Source organism: Homo sapiens, chromosome 20 (genome assembly GCF_000001405.40).
Source record: "Homo sapiens chromosome 20, GRCh38.p14 Primary Assembly".
Taxonomy (NCBI): domain Eukaryota; kingdom Metazoa; phylum Chordata; class Mammalia; order Primates; family Hominidae; genus Homo; species Homo sapiens.
The window spans coordinates 26,326,157-26,340,419 of NC_000020.11; the positions used below are offsets into that span (position 1 = coordinate 26,326,157).

General features: G+C 35.6%; 4 annotated features.

Annotated features, from left to right (window-relative positions):
- Positions 6,506–7,083: an enhancer, noted in NCBI's record as "OCT4-NANOG-H3K27ac hESC enhancer chr20:26313298-26313875 (GRCh37/hg19 assembly coordinates)". NCBI's record gives its function as "activates a minimal SCP1, AML or CMV promoter by ChIP-STARR-seq in primed H9 embryonic stem cells {active_cell/tissue: H9 hESC(primed)}" and the evidence as "EXISTENCE:reporter gene assay evidence [ECO:0000049][PMID:30033119]".
- Positions 7,084–7,662: an enhancer, noted in NCBI's record as "OCT4-NANOG-H3K27ac hESC enhancer chr20:26313876-26314454 (GRCh37/hg19 assembly coordinates)". NCBI's record gives its function as "activates a minimal SCP1, AML or CMV promoter by ChIP-STARR-seq in primed H9 embryonic stem cells {active_cell/tissue: H9 hESC(primed)}" and the evidence as "EXISTENCE:reporter gene assay evidence [ECO:0000049][PMID:30033119]".
- Positions 7,663–8,239: an enhancer, noted in NCBI's record as "OCT4-NANOG hESC enhancer chr20:26314455-26315031 (GRCh37/hg19 assembly coordinates)". NCBI's record gives its function as "activates a minimal SCP1, AML or CMV promoter by ChIP-STARR-seq in primed H9 embryonic stem cells {active_cell/tissue: H9 hESC(primed)}" and the evidence as "EXISTENCE:reporter gene assay evidence [ECO:0000049][PMID:30033119]".
- Positions 11,421–11,974: an enhancer, noted in NCBI's record as "OCT4-NANOG-H3K27ac hESC enhancer chr20:26318213-26318766 (GRCh37/hg19 assembly coordinates)". NCBI's record gives its function as "activates a minimal SCP1, AML or CMV promoter by ChIP-STARR-seq in primed H9 embryonic stem cells {active_cell/tissue: H9 hESC(primed)}" and the evidence as "EXISTENCE:reporter gene assay evidence [ECO:0000049][PMID:30033119]".

The following is a 14,263-nucleotide window of genomic DNA, read 5'->3' on the forward strand; positions in this document are numbered from 1 at the left end:
TATTAGAGCAGTTTTGAACACTCTTTTTCTAGATCCTGTAAGTGGACATTTGCAGCGCTTTGAGGCCTACGGTGAAAAAGGAAATATCATCACAAAATACTAGACAGAAGGATTCTCAGAAACTTCTTTGTGATTTGTGTACTCAACTCACAGAGTTAAACCTTTCTTTTGATAGAGCAGTTTTGAAACACTCTTCTTGTACAATTTACAAGTGGATATTAGGACAGCTTTGAGGCTTTCGTTGGAAACGGGAATATCTTCACATAGAAATTAGACAGAAGCATTCTCAGAAACTTCTTTGTCACGTGTGCATTCAACTCACAGAGTTGAAACTTTCCTTTGATAGAGCAGATTGGAAACACACTTTTTGAAATATTTGCAAGTGGATATTTGGACAGCTTTGAGGCTTTCGCTGGAAATGGGTGTATCTTCACAAAAAAACTAGACAGAAGCATTCTCAGAAACTTCTTTGTGATGTGTGTACTCGACTCACAGAGTTGAACCTTTCTTTTGATAGAGCAGTTTTCAAACACACTTCTTGCAGAATTTACAAGTGGATATTAGGACAGATTTGAGGCTTTCGTTGGAAATGGGAATATCTTCACACAAAAAGTAGACAGAAGCATTCTCAGAAACTTCTTTGTGAAGTTTGCATTCAAATCACATTTTTGAACATACCTTTTAATAGAGCAGTTTTGAAACACACTGTAGAAACTGCAAGTGGACATTTGCAGCGCTTTGAGGCCTATGGTGAAAAAAAAAATCTTCGTATAAAAACTAGACAGAAGCACTCTCAGAAACTTCTTTGTGATGTGTGTACTCAACTCACAGAGTTAAACCATTCTTTTGATAGAGGGGTTTTCAAAAACACTTCTTGTAGAATTTACAATTGGATATTAGGACAGCTTTGAGGCTTTTGTTGGAAACCAGAATATCTTCACACAAAAACTAGACAGAAGCATTGTCAGAAACATCTTTGTGAAGTTTGCATTCAAATCACATAGTTGAACTTACCTTTTAATGGAGCAATTTTGAAATACTGTTTTTGAAGGGTCTGCAAGTGGACATTTGCAGCGCTTTCAGGCCTTTAGTGAAAAAGGAAATATCTTCCCATAAAAACTAGACAGAAACATTCTCAGAAACTTCTCTGTGATGTGTGTAATCAACTCACAGAGTTGAAACTTTCCTTTGATAGAGCAGTTTCGAAACAATCTTGTAGAATCTGCAAGTGGATATTTGGACAGCTTTGAATCTTTCGGTGGAAAAGGGAATATCTTCACATGAAAACTAGACAGAAGAATTCTCAAAAACTTCTTTGTGATGTTTGCCTTCAACTCACAGAGTTGAACATTCCTTTTCTTAGAGCAGTTTTCAAACACTCTTTTTGTAGAATCTGCAAGTGGACATTTGGAGCGCTTTCAGTCCTATTGTGAAAAAGGAATTATCTTCATATAAAAACTAGACAGAAGAATTCTCAGAAACTTCTTTGTGATGTGTGTACTCAACTCACAGAGTTAAACCTTTCTTTTGATAGAGCAGTTTTGAAACACTCTGCTTGTAGAATATGTAAGTGGATATTTCGACAGCTTTGAGGCTTTCGTTGGAAACGGGAAAATCTTCACATAGAAACTACACAGAAGCATTCTCAGAAACTTCTTTGTGATATGCGTCTTCAACTCACAGAGCTGAAACTTTCCTTTGACGGAGCAGATTTGAAACACACTTTTTGTAGAATTTGCAAGTGGATAGGTTTGAGGTTTGGACAGGTTTGAGGCCTTCGCTGGAAACGGGAGTATCTTCACAAAGAAACTAGATAGAAGCATTCTCAGAAACTACTTTGTGATGTGTGTACTAAACTCAGAGAGTAGAACCTTTCTTTTGATACAACAGTTTTGAAACACTCTGTTTGTAGAATTTGCAAGTCGATAATTGGACAGCTTTGAGGCTTTCGTTGGAAACGGGAATATCTTCACATAGAAACTAGACAGAAACATTCTCAAAAACTGCTTTGTGATGTGTGCATTCAACTCACAGAGTTGAAACTTTCTTTTGATAGAGCAGATTTGAAACACACTTTTTGTAGAATTTGCAAATGGATATTTGGACAGCTTTGAGGACTTCACAGGAAACTGGAGTATCTTCACAAAAAAACTAGACAGAAGGATTCTCAGAAACTTCTTGTGATGTGTGTGATCAACTCGCAGAGTTGAAACATTCTTTTGATAGAGCAGTTTTGAAACACTGTTTTTGTAGAATCTGCAGGTGGATATTTGGATAGCTTTGAGGCTTTCATGGGAAACGGGAATATTTTCACATAAAAACTAGATAGAAGCATTCTCAGAAACTTCTTTGTGTTGTGTGCATTCTACTCACAGTGTTGAAAATTTCTTTTGATAGAGCAGATTGGAAACACTCTTTTTGTAGAATTTGCTAGTGGATATTTGTACAGTTTTGAGGTCTACGCAGGAAATGGGAATATCTTAATATAAAAACTAGACAGAAGTATTCTCAGAAACTTCTTTGTGATGTGTATACTCACCTCACAGAGTTGAACATTTCTTCTGATAGAGCAGTTTTGAAACACTCTCTTTGTAGAATCTGCAAGTGGATATTTGGACAGCTTTCTGGCTTCAATGGAAATGGGGATATCTTCACATAAAAACTAGACAGAAGCATTCTCAAAAACTTCTTTGTGATGTCTGCATTCAACTCACAGAGTTGAACATTCCTTTTCATAGAGAAGATTTGGAGCACTCTTTTTGTAGAAACTGCAAGAGAACATTTGGAGCACTTCGAGGCCTAAGGTTAAAAAGGAAATATCTTCACTTAAAAACTAGACAGAAGAATTCTCAGAAACTTCTTCGTTATGTGTGTACTCAACTCACAGAGTTGATCCTTTCTTTTGATAGAGCAGTTTTGAAAAACACTCTTTGTTGAATCTGCAAGTGGATATTTGGACAGCTTTGAAACTTTCTTTGGAAATGTCAATATCTTCACATAAAAACTAGACAGAAGCATTCTCAGAAACTTTTTTGTGAAGTTTGCATTCAAATCACAGAGTTGAACATACCTTAAATAGAGCAGTTTTGAAACAATCTTTTTGTAGAATCTGCAAGTAGACATTTGCAGCGCTTTGAGGCCTAAGGTGTAAAAGGAAATATCTTCACATAAAAACTAGACAGAAGCATTCTCAGATACTTCTTTGTGATATGTGTACTCAACTCACCGAGTTGAACCTTTCTTGTGATAGAGCAGTTTTGAAACACTCTCTTTGTAGAATCTGCAATTGGATATTTGGACAGCATTGAATCTTTCGTTGGAAACGGGAATATTTTCACATAAAAACTAAACAGAAGCATTCTCAGAAACTTCTTTGTGGTGTGTGCACTCAAGTCACAGAATTGAACCTTTCTTACAATAGAGCAGTTTTGAAACCCTCTCTTTGTAGAATATGCAAGTGGATATTTGGACAGCTTTGAATCTTTCGTTGGAAACTGGAATATCTTCACATAAAAACTAGACAGAAGCATACTCAATAACTACTTTGTGATGTTTCCCTTCAACTCACAGATTTGAACATTCTTTTTCATAGAGCAGTTTTGAGACACTCTTTTTGTCGAATCTGCAAGGGGACATTTGGAGCGCTTTGAGGCCTATGGTGAAAAAGGAAATATCTTCATATAAAAACTAGACAGAAGCATTCTCAGAAACTTCTTTGTGATGTGTGTAGTCAACTCACAGGGTTAAACCTTTCTTTTGATAGAGCAGATTTCAAACACTCTTCTTGTAGAATTTACAAGTGGATATTAGGACAGCTTTGAGGGTTTCGTTGGAAAAGGAATATCTTCACATAAAAACTAGACAGAAGCATTCTCAGAAACGTCTTTGTGAAGTTTGCATTCAAATCACACAGATGAACATAACTTTTAATGGAACAGTTTTGAAACACTCTTTTTGTAGGATCTGCAAGTGGACATTTGCAGCGCTTTGAGGCCTAAAGTGAAAAAGGAAATATCTTCACATAAAAACTAGATAGAAGCATTCTCGGAAACTTCTTTATGAAGTTTGCATTCAAATCAGAGTTCAACATACATTTTAATAGAGTAGTTTTGAAACACTCTTTTTCTAGTATATGTCAGTGGACATTTGCAGCGCTTTGAGGCCTATGGTGAAAAAGGAAATATCTTCACATTAAAACTAGACAGAAGCATTCTCAGAAACTTCTTTGGGATGTGTGTACTCAACTCACCGAATTAAACCTTTCTTTTGATAGAGCAGTTTTGAAACACTCTTCTTGTAGAATTTACAAGTCGATAATTGGACAGCTTTGAGGCTTTCGTTGGAAGCGGGTATATATTCACATAGAAACTAGACAGAAGCATTCTCAGAAACTACTTTGTGATGTGTGCATTCAACTCACAGAGTTGAAATTTTCTTTTGATAGACCAGATTTGAAACACACTTTTTGTAGAATTTGCTAGTGGATATTTGGACAGCTTTGAGGCCTTCGCAGGAAGCGGGAATATCTTCATATAAAAACTAGACAGAATTATTCTCAGAAACTTCTTTGTGATGCGTATACTCAACTTACAGAGCTGAAACTTTCTTTTGATAGAGCAGTTCTGAAACATTCTTCTTGTAGAATCTGCAAGTGGATATTTGGACAGCTTTGAATCTTTCCTTGGAAACGGGAATATCTTCACATAAAAACTAGACAGAAGCATTCTCAAAATCTTCTTTGTGATGTTTGCCTTCAACTCACAGATTTGAACACACCTTTTCATGGAGCAGTTTTGAAACACTCCTTTTGTACAATCTGCAAGTGGACACTTGGAGCGCTTTGAGGCCTATGGTGAAAGAGAAAATATCCTCATATAGAAACGAGACAGAAGCATTCTCAGAAACTTCTTTGTGATGTGTGTACTCAACTTACAGAGTTAAACTTTTCTTTTGATAGAGCAGTTTTGAAACACTCTCTTTGTAGTATGTGCAATTGGATATTTGGACAGCTTTGAATCTTTCTTTGGAAACGGGAATATCTTCACATAAAAACTAGACAGAATCATTCTCAGAAACTTCTTTGTGAAGTTTGCATTCAAATAGCAGAGTTCAACATTCCTTTTAATAGAGCAGTTTTGAAACACAGTTTTTGTAGAATCTGCAAGTGGACATTTGCAGTACTTTGAGGCCAATGGTGAAAAAAGAAATATCTTCACATAAAAACTAGACAGAAGCATTCTCAGAAGCTTCTTTGTGATGTGTGCACTCAACTCACAGAATTGAACCTTTCTTTTGATAGATCAGTTTGGAACTCTCTCTTTGTAGAAACTGTAAGTGGATATTTTGGCAGTTTTGGATCTTTCGTTGGAAACGGGAATAACTTCACATAAAAACTAGACAGAAGCATTCTCAAAAACTACTTTGTGATGTTTGCCTTCAACTCACAGAGTTGAACATTCCTTTTCATAGAGCAGTTTTGTAACACTTTTTTTGTAGAATCTGAAAGTGGATATTTGGAGCGCTTTGAGGCCTATCGTGAAAAAGGAAATATCTTCACATAAAAACTAGACAGAAGCATTCTCAGAAACTTCTTTGTTATGTGTGTACTAAACTAACAGATTTGAACCTTTTTTTTGATAGAGCATTTTTGAAACACTCTCTTTGTAGAATCTGCAAGTGGATGTTTGGAAAGCTTTCAATCCTTCGTTGGAAACGGGATTATCTTCACATAAAAACTAGACAGAAGCATTCTCAGAAACTAGTTTGTTAATGTGTTCTCAACTCACAGAATTAAACCTTTCCTTTGATACAGCACTTTTGGAACACTCTTGTTGTAAAATTTACAAGTAGATATTAGGACATCATTGAGGATTTCGTTGGAAACGGGAATATCTTCACATAAAACTAGACAGACGCATTCTTAGAGACTTCTTTGTGATGTCTGCATTCAACTCACAGAGTTGAAACTTTCTTTTGATAGAGCAGATAGGAAACCCTCTTTTTGCCTAATTTGCAAGTGGGTATTTAGACAGCTTTGAGGCCTTTGCTGGAAACGGGTATATCTTCACATAGAAAATAGACAGAAGCATTCTCAGAAACTTCTTTGTGATGCTTGCATTCAACTCACAGAGCTGAACACTCCTTTTCATAGAGCAGTTTTGAAACACTCTTTTTGAAGAATCTGGAAGTGGAAATTTGGAGGGTTTTGAGGCCTATGGTGAAAAAGGAAATATCTTCCCATAAAAACTAGACAGAAGAATTCTCAGAAACTACTTTGTGATGTGTGTACTCAACTCACAGCGTTGAATCTTTCTTTTGATACAGCAGTGTTGAAACACTCTTTTTGTAGAATCTGCAAATCGATATTTTGATAGCTTTGAGGTTTTTGCTGGAAACGTGAATATCTTCACAAAAAACTGGACACAAGCATTCTCAGAAACTTGTTTGTGAGTCTTGCATTCAACTCACAGAGTTAAACATTCCTTTTCATAGTCTAGTTTTGAAACACTCTTTTTGTAGAATCTGCAAGTGGACATTTGGAGCGATTTGAGACCTATAGTGAAAAAGGAAATATCTTCACATAAAAACTAGACAGAAGCATTCTCAGAAACTGCTTTGTGATGTGTGTACTCAACTCACAGAGTTGAACCTTACTTTTGATACAGCAGTTTTGAAAAACTTTTTTTGTAGAGTCTGCAAGTGGATATTTGGATAGCTTTGAGGCTTTCATTGGAAACGGGAATATCATCACAAAACAACTAGACAAAATCATTCTCAGAAACTTCTTTGTGATGTTTGCATTCAATTCACAGAGTTGAACATTCCTTTTCATAGAGCTCTATTGAAACACTCTTTTTGTAAAATCTGCTAGTGGACATTAGGAGCTATTTGAGACCAATGGTAAAAAAGGAAATATCTTCACATAAAAAGTAGACAGAAGCATTCTCAGAAACTACTTTGCGATGTGTGTACTAAACTCAAAGAGTTAAACCTTTCCTTTGATACAGCAGTTTTGAAACACTCTTTTTGTTGAATTTACAAGTGGATATTGGAGAGCATTGAGGATTTCGTTAGAAACGGGAATATCTTCACATAAAACTAGACAGAAGCATTCTCAGACACTTATTTGGATGTCTGCAATGATCTCACAGACATTCTCAGACACTTCCTTGTGATGTGTGCATTGAACTCACAGAGTTGAAACTTTCTTTTGATAGAGCATATTTGAAACACTCTTTTTGTAGAATTTGCAAGAGGATATTTGGACAGATTTGGGGCCTTCGCTGTAAAAGGGTATACCTTCACATAAAAACTAGACAGAAGCATTCTCAGAAACTTCTTTGTGATGTGTGTACTCAACTCACAGAGATGAACCTTTCTTTTGATAGAGCAGTTTTGAAAAACTCTTTTTGAAGGATCTGCAAGTGGCTATTTGGATAGCTTTGAGGATTTCGTTGGAAACGGGAATATCTTCACATAAAAACTAGACAGAAGCATTCTCAGAAGCTTCTTTGTGAAGTTTGCATTCACCTCACAGAGTTGAACACTCCCTTTCATTGAGCAGTTTTGTAACCCTCTTTTTGTAGTATCTGGAAGTGAACATTTGGAGGGCTTTGAGGTCTACGGTGAAAAAGGGAACATCTTCACATAAAAACTAGACAGAAGCATTCTCAGAAACTACTTTGTGATGTGTGTACTCAATTCCCACAGTTGAATCTTTGTTTTGATAGAGCAGTTTTGAAACACTCTTTTTGTAGAATCTGCAAGTGGATATTTGGATACCTTTGAGTCTTTCGTTGGAAACGTGAATATCTTCACATATAAACAGTACACAACCATTCTCAGAAACTTCTTTGTGATGTTTGCATACAACTCACAGAGTTGAACATTCCTTTTCATAGAGCAGATTTGAAACACTCTTTTTGTAGAATCTGCACGAGGACATTTGGAGCGATTGGAGACCTATAGTGAAAAAGGAAATATCTTCACATAAAAACTAAACAGAAGCATTCTCAGAAACTTCTTTGAGATGTGTGTACTCAACTCACAGAGTTGAAACTTTCTTTTGATACAGCAGTTTTGAAACAGTCTTTTTGTGGAATCTGCATGTGGATATTTGGATAGATATGAGGCTTTCTTTGGAAAAGGGACTATCATCACAAAAAAACTAGACAGAAGCATTCTCAGAAAGTTCTTTGGGATATTTGCATTCAACTCACAGAGTTGAACATTCCTTTCCTGAGAGTAGTATTGAAACACTCTTTTTGTAGAATCTGCAAGTGGACATTTGGAGCGATTTGAGACCTATGGTGAAAAAGGAAATATCTTCACATAAAAAGTAGACAGAAGCATTCTCAGAAACTGCTTTTTGATGTGTGCACTAAACTCAATGAGTTAAACTTTCCTTTGATACAGCAGTTTTGAAACACTCTTCTTGTAGAATTTATAAGTGGATATTAGGAGAGCATTGAGGATTTCATTGGAAATGGGATTATCTTCACATAAAACTAGACAGAAGCATTCCATGAAATTTCTTTGTGATGTGTGTACTCAACTTACAGAGTTGAAACTTTCTCTTGATACAGTAGTTTAGAAACACTCTTTTTGTAGAATCTGCAAGTGGATATTTGGATAGCTTTGAGGCTTTCGTTGGAAACGGGAATATCTTCACATAAAAACTAGACAGAAGGATTCTCAGAAACTTCTTTCTGATGCCTCCATTCAACTCACAGTGTTGAACTTTCCTTTTCATGGAGCAGTTTTGAAACAACCTTTTTGTAGAATCTGTAAGTGGAAACTTGGAGCGCTTTGAGGCCTGTGGTGAAAAAGGAAATATCTTCCTATAAAAACTAGACAGAAGAATTCTCAGAAACTTCTTTGTGATGTGTGTACTCAACTCACAGAGTTGTACTTTTCTTTTGATAGAGCAGTTTTGAAACACTCTTTTTGCAGTGTCTGCAAGTGGATATTTTGTTAGCTTTGAAGATTACATTGGAAACGGGAATATCTTTACATATAAACTAGACAGAAGCATTCTCAGAAACTTCTTTGTGATGTTTGCATTCACCTCACGGAGTTGAACATTCCCTTTCATAGAGCAGTTTTGAAAAACTCTTTTTGCAGTATCTGGAAGTGGACATTTTGAACGCTTTGAGACCTATGGTGAAAAAGGAAATATCTTCACATAAAAACTAGACGGAAGCATTCTGAGAAACTACTTTGTGATGTGTGTACTCAATTCATGTAGTTGAACCTTTGTTTTGATAAAGCAGTTTTGAAGCACTCTTTTTGTAGAATCTGCATGTGGATATTTGGATAGATTTGAGGTTTTCGTTGGAAACGGGAATATCTTCACATAAAAACTAGACAGAAGGATTCTCAGAAACTTTTTTGTGATGTTTGCATTCAACTCACAGAGTTGAACATTCCTTTTCATAGCAGTTTTGAAACACTCTTTTTGTAGATCTGTAAGTGGAAAATTGGAGCTCTTTGAGGCCTGTGGTGAAAAAGGAAATATGTTCACATAAAAACTAGACAGAAACATTCTCAGAAGTTTCTTTGTGATGTGTGTACTCAACTAACAGATTTGAAACTTTCTTTTGATACAGCAGTTTTGAAACACTCTTTTTGTTGAATCTGTAAGTGGATATTTGGATAGCTTTGAGGCTTTCGTTGGAAACGGGAATACCTTCACTTAAAAACTAGAGAGAAGCATTCTCAGAAAGTACCTTGTGATGTTTGCATTCAACTCAAAGAGTTCAACATTCCTCTTGATAGAGCAGTTTGGAAACCCTCTTTTTGTATTATCTGCAGGTGGATATTTGGACCTCTTAGAGGCATTCTTTGAAACGGGTTTTCTTCATATAAACAAGACAGAAGAATTCTCAGAATCTACTTTGTGATGTGTGCTTTCAACTCACGGAGTTTAATCTTCCTTTCGATAGAGCAGTTTAGAAACACTCTTTTTGTGGAATTTGCAAGTGTACATTTATAGTGCTTTGAGGCCTATGTTAGAAAAGGAAATATATTCACATAAAAACTGGACAGAAGCATTCTCAGACACTAATTCGTGATGTTTGCATTCAACTCACTGATTTGTCCATTCCTCTTAATAAAGTAGTTTTGAAATACTCTTTTTGTACAATCTGCAAGTGGATATTTGGACTTCTTTGAGGCTATCGTTGGAAATGGGATTTCTTCATATAAAACTAGACAGAAGAATTCGCAGAAACTTCTTTGTGAAGTGAGCATTCATCTCGCAGATATGAACCTTCCTTTCGATAGAGCAGTTTTGAAACACTCTTTTTGTTGAATTTCCAAATGGATATTTAGAGCATTTTGAGGCCTGTGGTAGTAAAGGAAATATCTTCATAGAAAAACTAGACAGAATTTTTCTGAGAAACTGCTTTTTGATGTGTGGGTTCAACTCATAGAGTTTAACCTTTCTTCTGATAGAGTAGTTTTGAAACAATCTTTTTGTAGAATTTCCAAGTGGATATTTAGAGCGTTTGGAGGCCTATGGTAGAAAAGGAAATATCTTCATAGAAAAACTAAACAGAATCATTCTCAGAAACTACTTTGTGATTTGTGTGTTGAACTCACAGAGTTTAACATTTCTTTTGATAGAGCAGTTCTGAAACACAGTTTTTGTAGTATTTGCAAGTGCATATTTAGAGTGCTTTGAGGCCAATGGTAGAACAGGAAATACATTCACATGAAAACTAGACAGAAGCATTCTCAGAAACTACTTTGTGATGTTTGTATTCAACTTACAAAGTTGAACGTTCCTCTTGACAGAGCAGTTTTGAAACACTCGTTTTGTAGATTCTGCAAGTGGATATTTGGACCCCTTTAAGGCCTTCATTGGAAACGGGATTTCTTCATATAAAACTAGACAGAAGAATTCTCAGAAACTCTTTTGGAATGTGTGCGTTCAACTCACAGAGTTTAAACTTTCTATTGATAGAGGAGTTCTGAAACACTCTTTTTGTAGAATTTGCAAGTGTATATTTACAGCGCTTTGAGGCCTATTGTAAAAAAGGAAATATCGTCACATAAAAACTAGACAGAAGCATTCTCAGAAACTACTTTGTGATGTTTGCATTCAACTCCCAGAGCTGAACATTCCTCTTGATAGAGCAGTTTTGAAACACTCTTTTTGTAGAACATGGAAGTGGAAATTTGGACATCTTTGAGGCCTTCGTTGGAAATGGGATTTCTTCATATAAAATTAGACAGAAGAATTCTCAGAAACTTCTCTGTGATGTGTGCTTTCAACTCACAGAGTTGAACCTTCCTTTCGATAGAGCAGTTTTGAAACACTCGTTTTGTAGAATTTCCAAGTGGATATTTAGATCGGCTTGAGGCCTATGTTAGAAAAGTAAATATCTTCATATAAAAACTAGACAGAATGATTCTCAGAGACTACTTTATGATGTGTGCGTTCAACTCACAGAGTTTAACCTTTCTTTTGATAGAGCAGTTTTAAAACTCTCTTTTGTAGAATTTGCAAGTGTATATTTAGAGTGCTTTGAGGCCTATGTAAGAAAAGGATTTATCTTCACATAAAAAACAGACAGAAGCATTGTCAGAAAGTATTTTGTGATGTTTGCATTCAACTCACAGAGTTGAACATTCCTCTTGATAGAGCACTTTTGAAACACTCTTTTTGTGGAATCTGCAAGTGAATATTTGGACTTTTTTGAGGCCTTCATTGGAAACGGGCTTTCTTCACATAAAACTTGACAGAAGAATTCTCAGAAACTTCTTTGTGATGTGTGCATTCAACTCACAGAGTTTAACATTTATTTTGATGGAGTAGATTTGGAACACTCTTTTTGTAGAATTTGCAAGGGTATATTTAGAGTGCTTTGAGGCCTATGGAAGAAAAGGATATATCTTCACATAAAAACCAGACAGAAGCATTCTCAGAAACTATTTTGTGATGTTTGCATTCAACTCACAGAGTTTAATATTTCTTTTGGTAGAGCAGTTTTGAATCACAGTTTTTGTAGTATTTGCAAGTGCATATTTAGAGTGCTTTGAGGCCTATGGTAGAAGAGGAAATATCTTCACATAAAAACTAGACAGAAGAATTGTCAGAAACTACTTTGTGATGTTTGCATTCCACTAACAGATTTAAACATTCCTCTTGATAGAGCAGTTTTGAAACACTTTATTTGTAGAATCTGCATGTGAATATTTGAAACTTTTTGAGGCATTCGTTGGAAACGGGATTTCTTCATAGAAAAGAAGACAGAAGAATTCTAAGAAACATTTTGTGATGTGTGCATTCAACTCACAGTGTTGAAACTTCCTTTCAATGGAGCATTTTTGAAACACTCTTTTTGTAGAATTTCCAAATGAATATTTAGAGTGCTTGGAGGCCTATGGTAGAAAAGTAAATATCTTCATAGAAAAACTGGAGAGAATCATTCTCATTATCTACTTTGTGGTGTGTGCTTTCAACTCTCAGAGTTTAACATTTCTTTTGATAGAGCAGTTTTGAGACGCTCTTTTTGTAGAATTTGCAAGTGTGTATTTAGAGGGCTTTTAGGCCTAGGGTAGAAAAGGAAATATCTTCATATAAACACAAGACAGAAGCATTCTCAGAAACTATTTTGTGATGTGTGCCCTCTACTAACAGAGTTGAACATTCCTCTTGATAGAGCAGTTTTGAAACACTCTTTTTGTAGAATCTGCAAGTTGATATTTTGGCCTCTTTGAGGCGTTCATTGGAAACGGGATTTCTTCATATAAAACTAGACAGAAGAATTCTCAGAAACTATTTTGTGATCTGTGCGTTTAACTCACGGAGTTTAACCTTTCTTTGATAGAGCAGTTTTGAAACACTCTTTTTGTAGTGATTGCAAGTGTATATATAGAGAGCTTTGAAGCCTATGTTAGAAAAGGAAATATCTTCACATAAAAACCAGACAGAACCATTCTCAGAAACTACTTTGTGATGTTTGCATTCAACTCACAGAGTTGAACATTCCCCTTGATAGAGCAGTTTTGAAACTCTATTTTGAATTATCTGCAAGTGGATATTTGGACCTCTTTGAGGCCTTCGTTGGAAACGAGATTTCTTCATATAAAACTAAACAGAAGAATTCTCAGAAACGTCTTCATGATATGTGCGTTCAACTCACAAAGTTTAACCTTTCTTTTGATAGAGCAGTTTTGAAACACTCTTTTTGTAGGATTTGCAAGTGTATATTTAGAGTGCTTTGAGGCCAATGGTAGAAAAGGAAATATCATCACATAAAAACTAGACAGAAGCATTCTCCGAAGCTAATTCGTGATATTTGCATTCAACTCATAGAGTTGAACATTCTTCTTGATAGAGCAGTTTTGAAACACTCTTTTTGTAGAATTTGCAAGTGTATGTTTAGAATGCTTTTAGGTCTATGGTAGAAAAGGGTATATCTTCATAAAAATACTAGACAGAATAATTCTCAGAAACTATTTTGTGATGTGTGCGTTCAGCTTACAGAGGAGTTTAAAGTTTCTTTTGATAGAGCAGTTTTGAAACACTCTTTGTGGAATTTGCAAGTGTGTATTTAGAGCGCTTTGAGGAATATGGTAGAAAAGGAAATATCTTCACATAAAAACTAGACAGAAGGATTGTCAGAAACTACTTTCTGATATTTGCATTCAACTCATAGAGTTGAACATTCTTCTTGGTAGAGCAGTTTTGAAACACTGTTTTTGTAGAATCTGCAAGTGGATGGTTGGACCTTTTTGAGGCCTTCATTGGAAACGGGATTTCTTCATATAAAACTAGACAGAAGAATTCTCAGAAACTTCTTTGTGATGTGTGCATTCAACTCACAGAGTTGAACATTCCTTTCAATAGAGCAGTTTTGAAACACTCTTTTTGTGGAATTTCCAAGTGGATATTTAGAGCGGTTTGAGGCCTATGGTTGAAAAGTAAATATCTTCATATAAAAACTAGACAGAATGATTCTCAGAAACTACTTTGTGATGTGGGCGTTCAACTCACAGAGTTTAACCTTTCTTTTGATAGAGCAGTTTTGAAACACTCTTTTTGTAGAATTTGCAAGTTTTTATTTAGAGTGCTTTGGGACCTATGGTTGGAAAGGAAATTTCTTCACATAAAAACTAGACAGAAGCATTCTCAGAAACTATTTTGTGATGTTTGCATTCAACTCACAAAGTTGAACATTCCTCTTGATAGAGCAGTTTTGAAACACTCTTTTTGTAGAATCTGCAAGTGGATATTTGGACCTCTTTGAGGCCT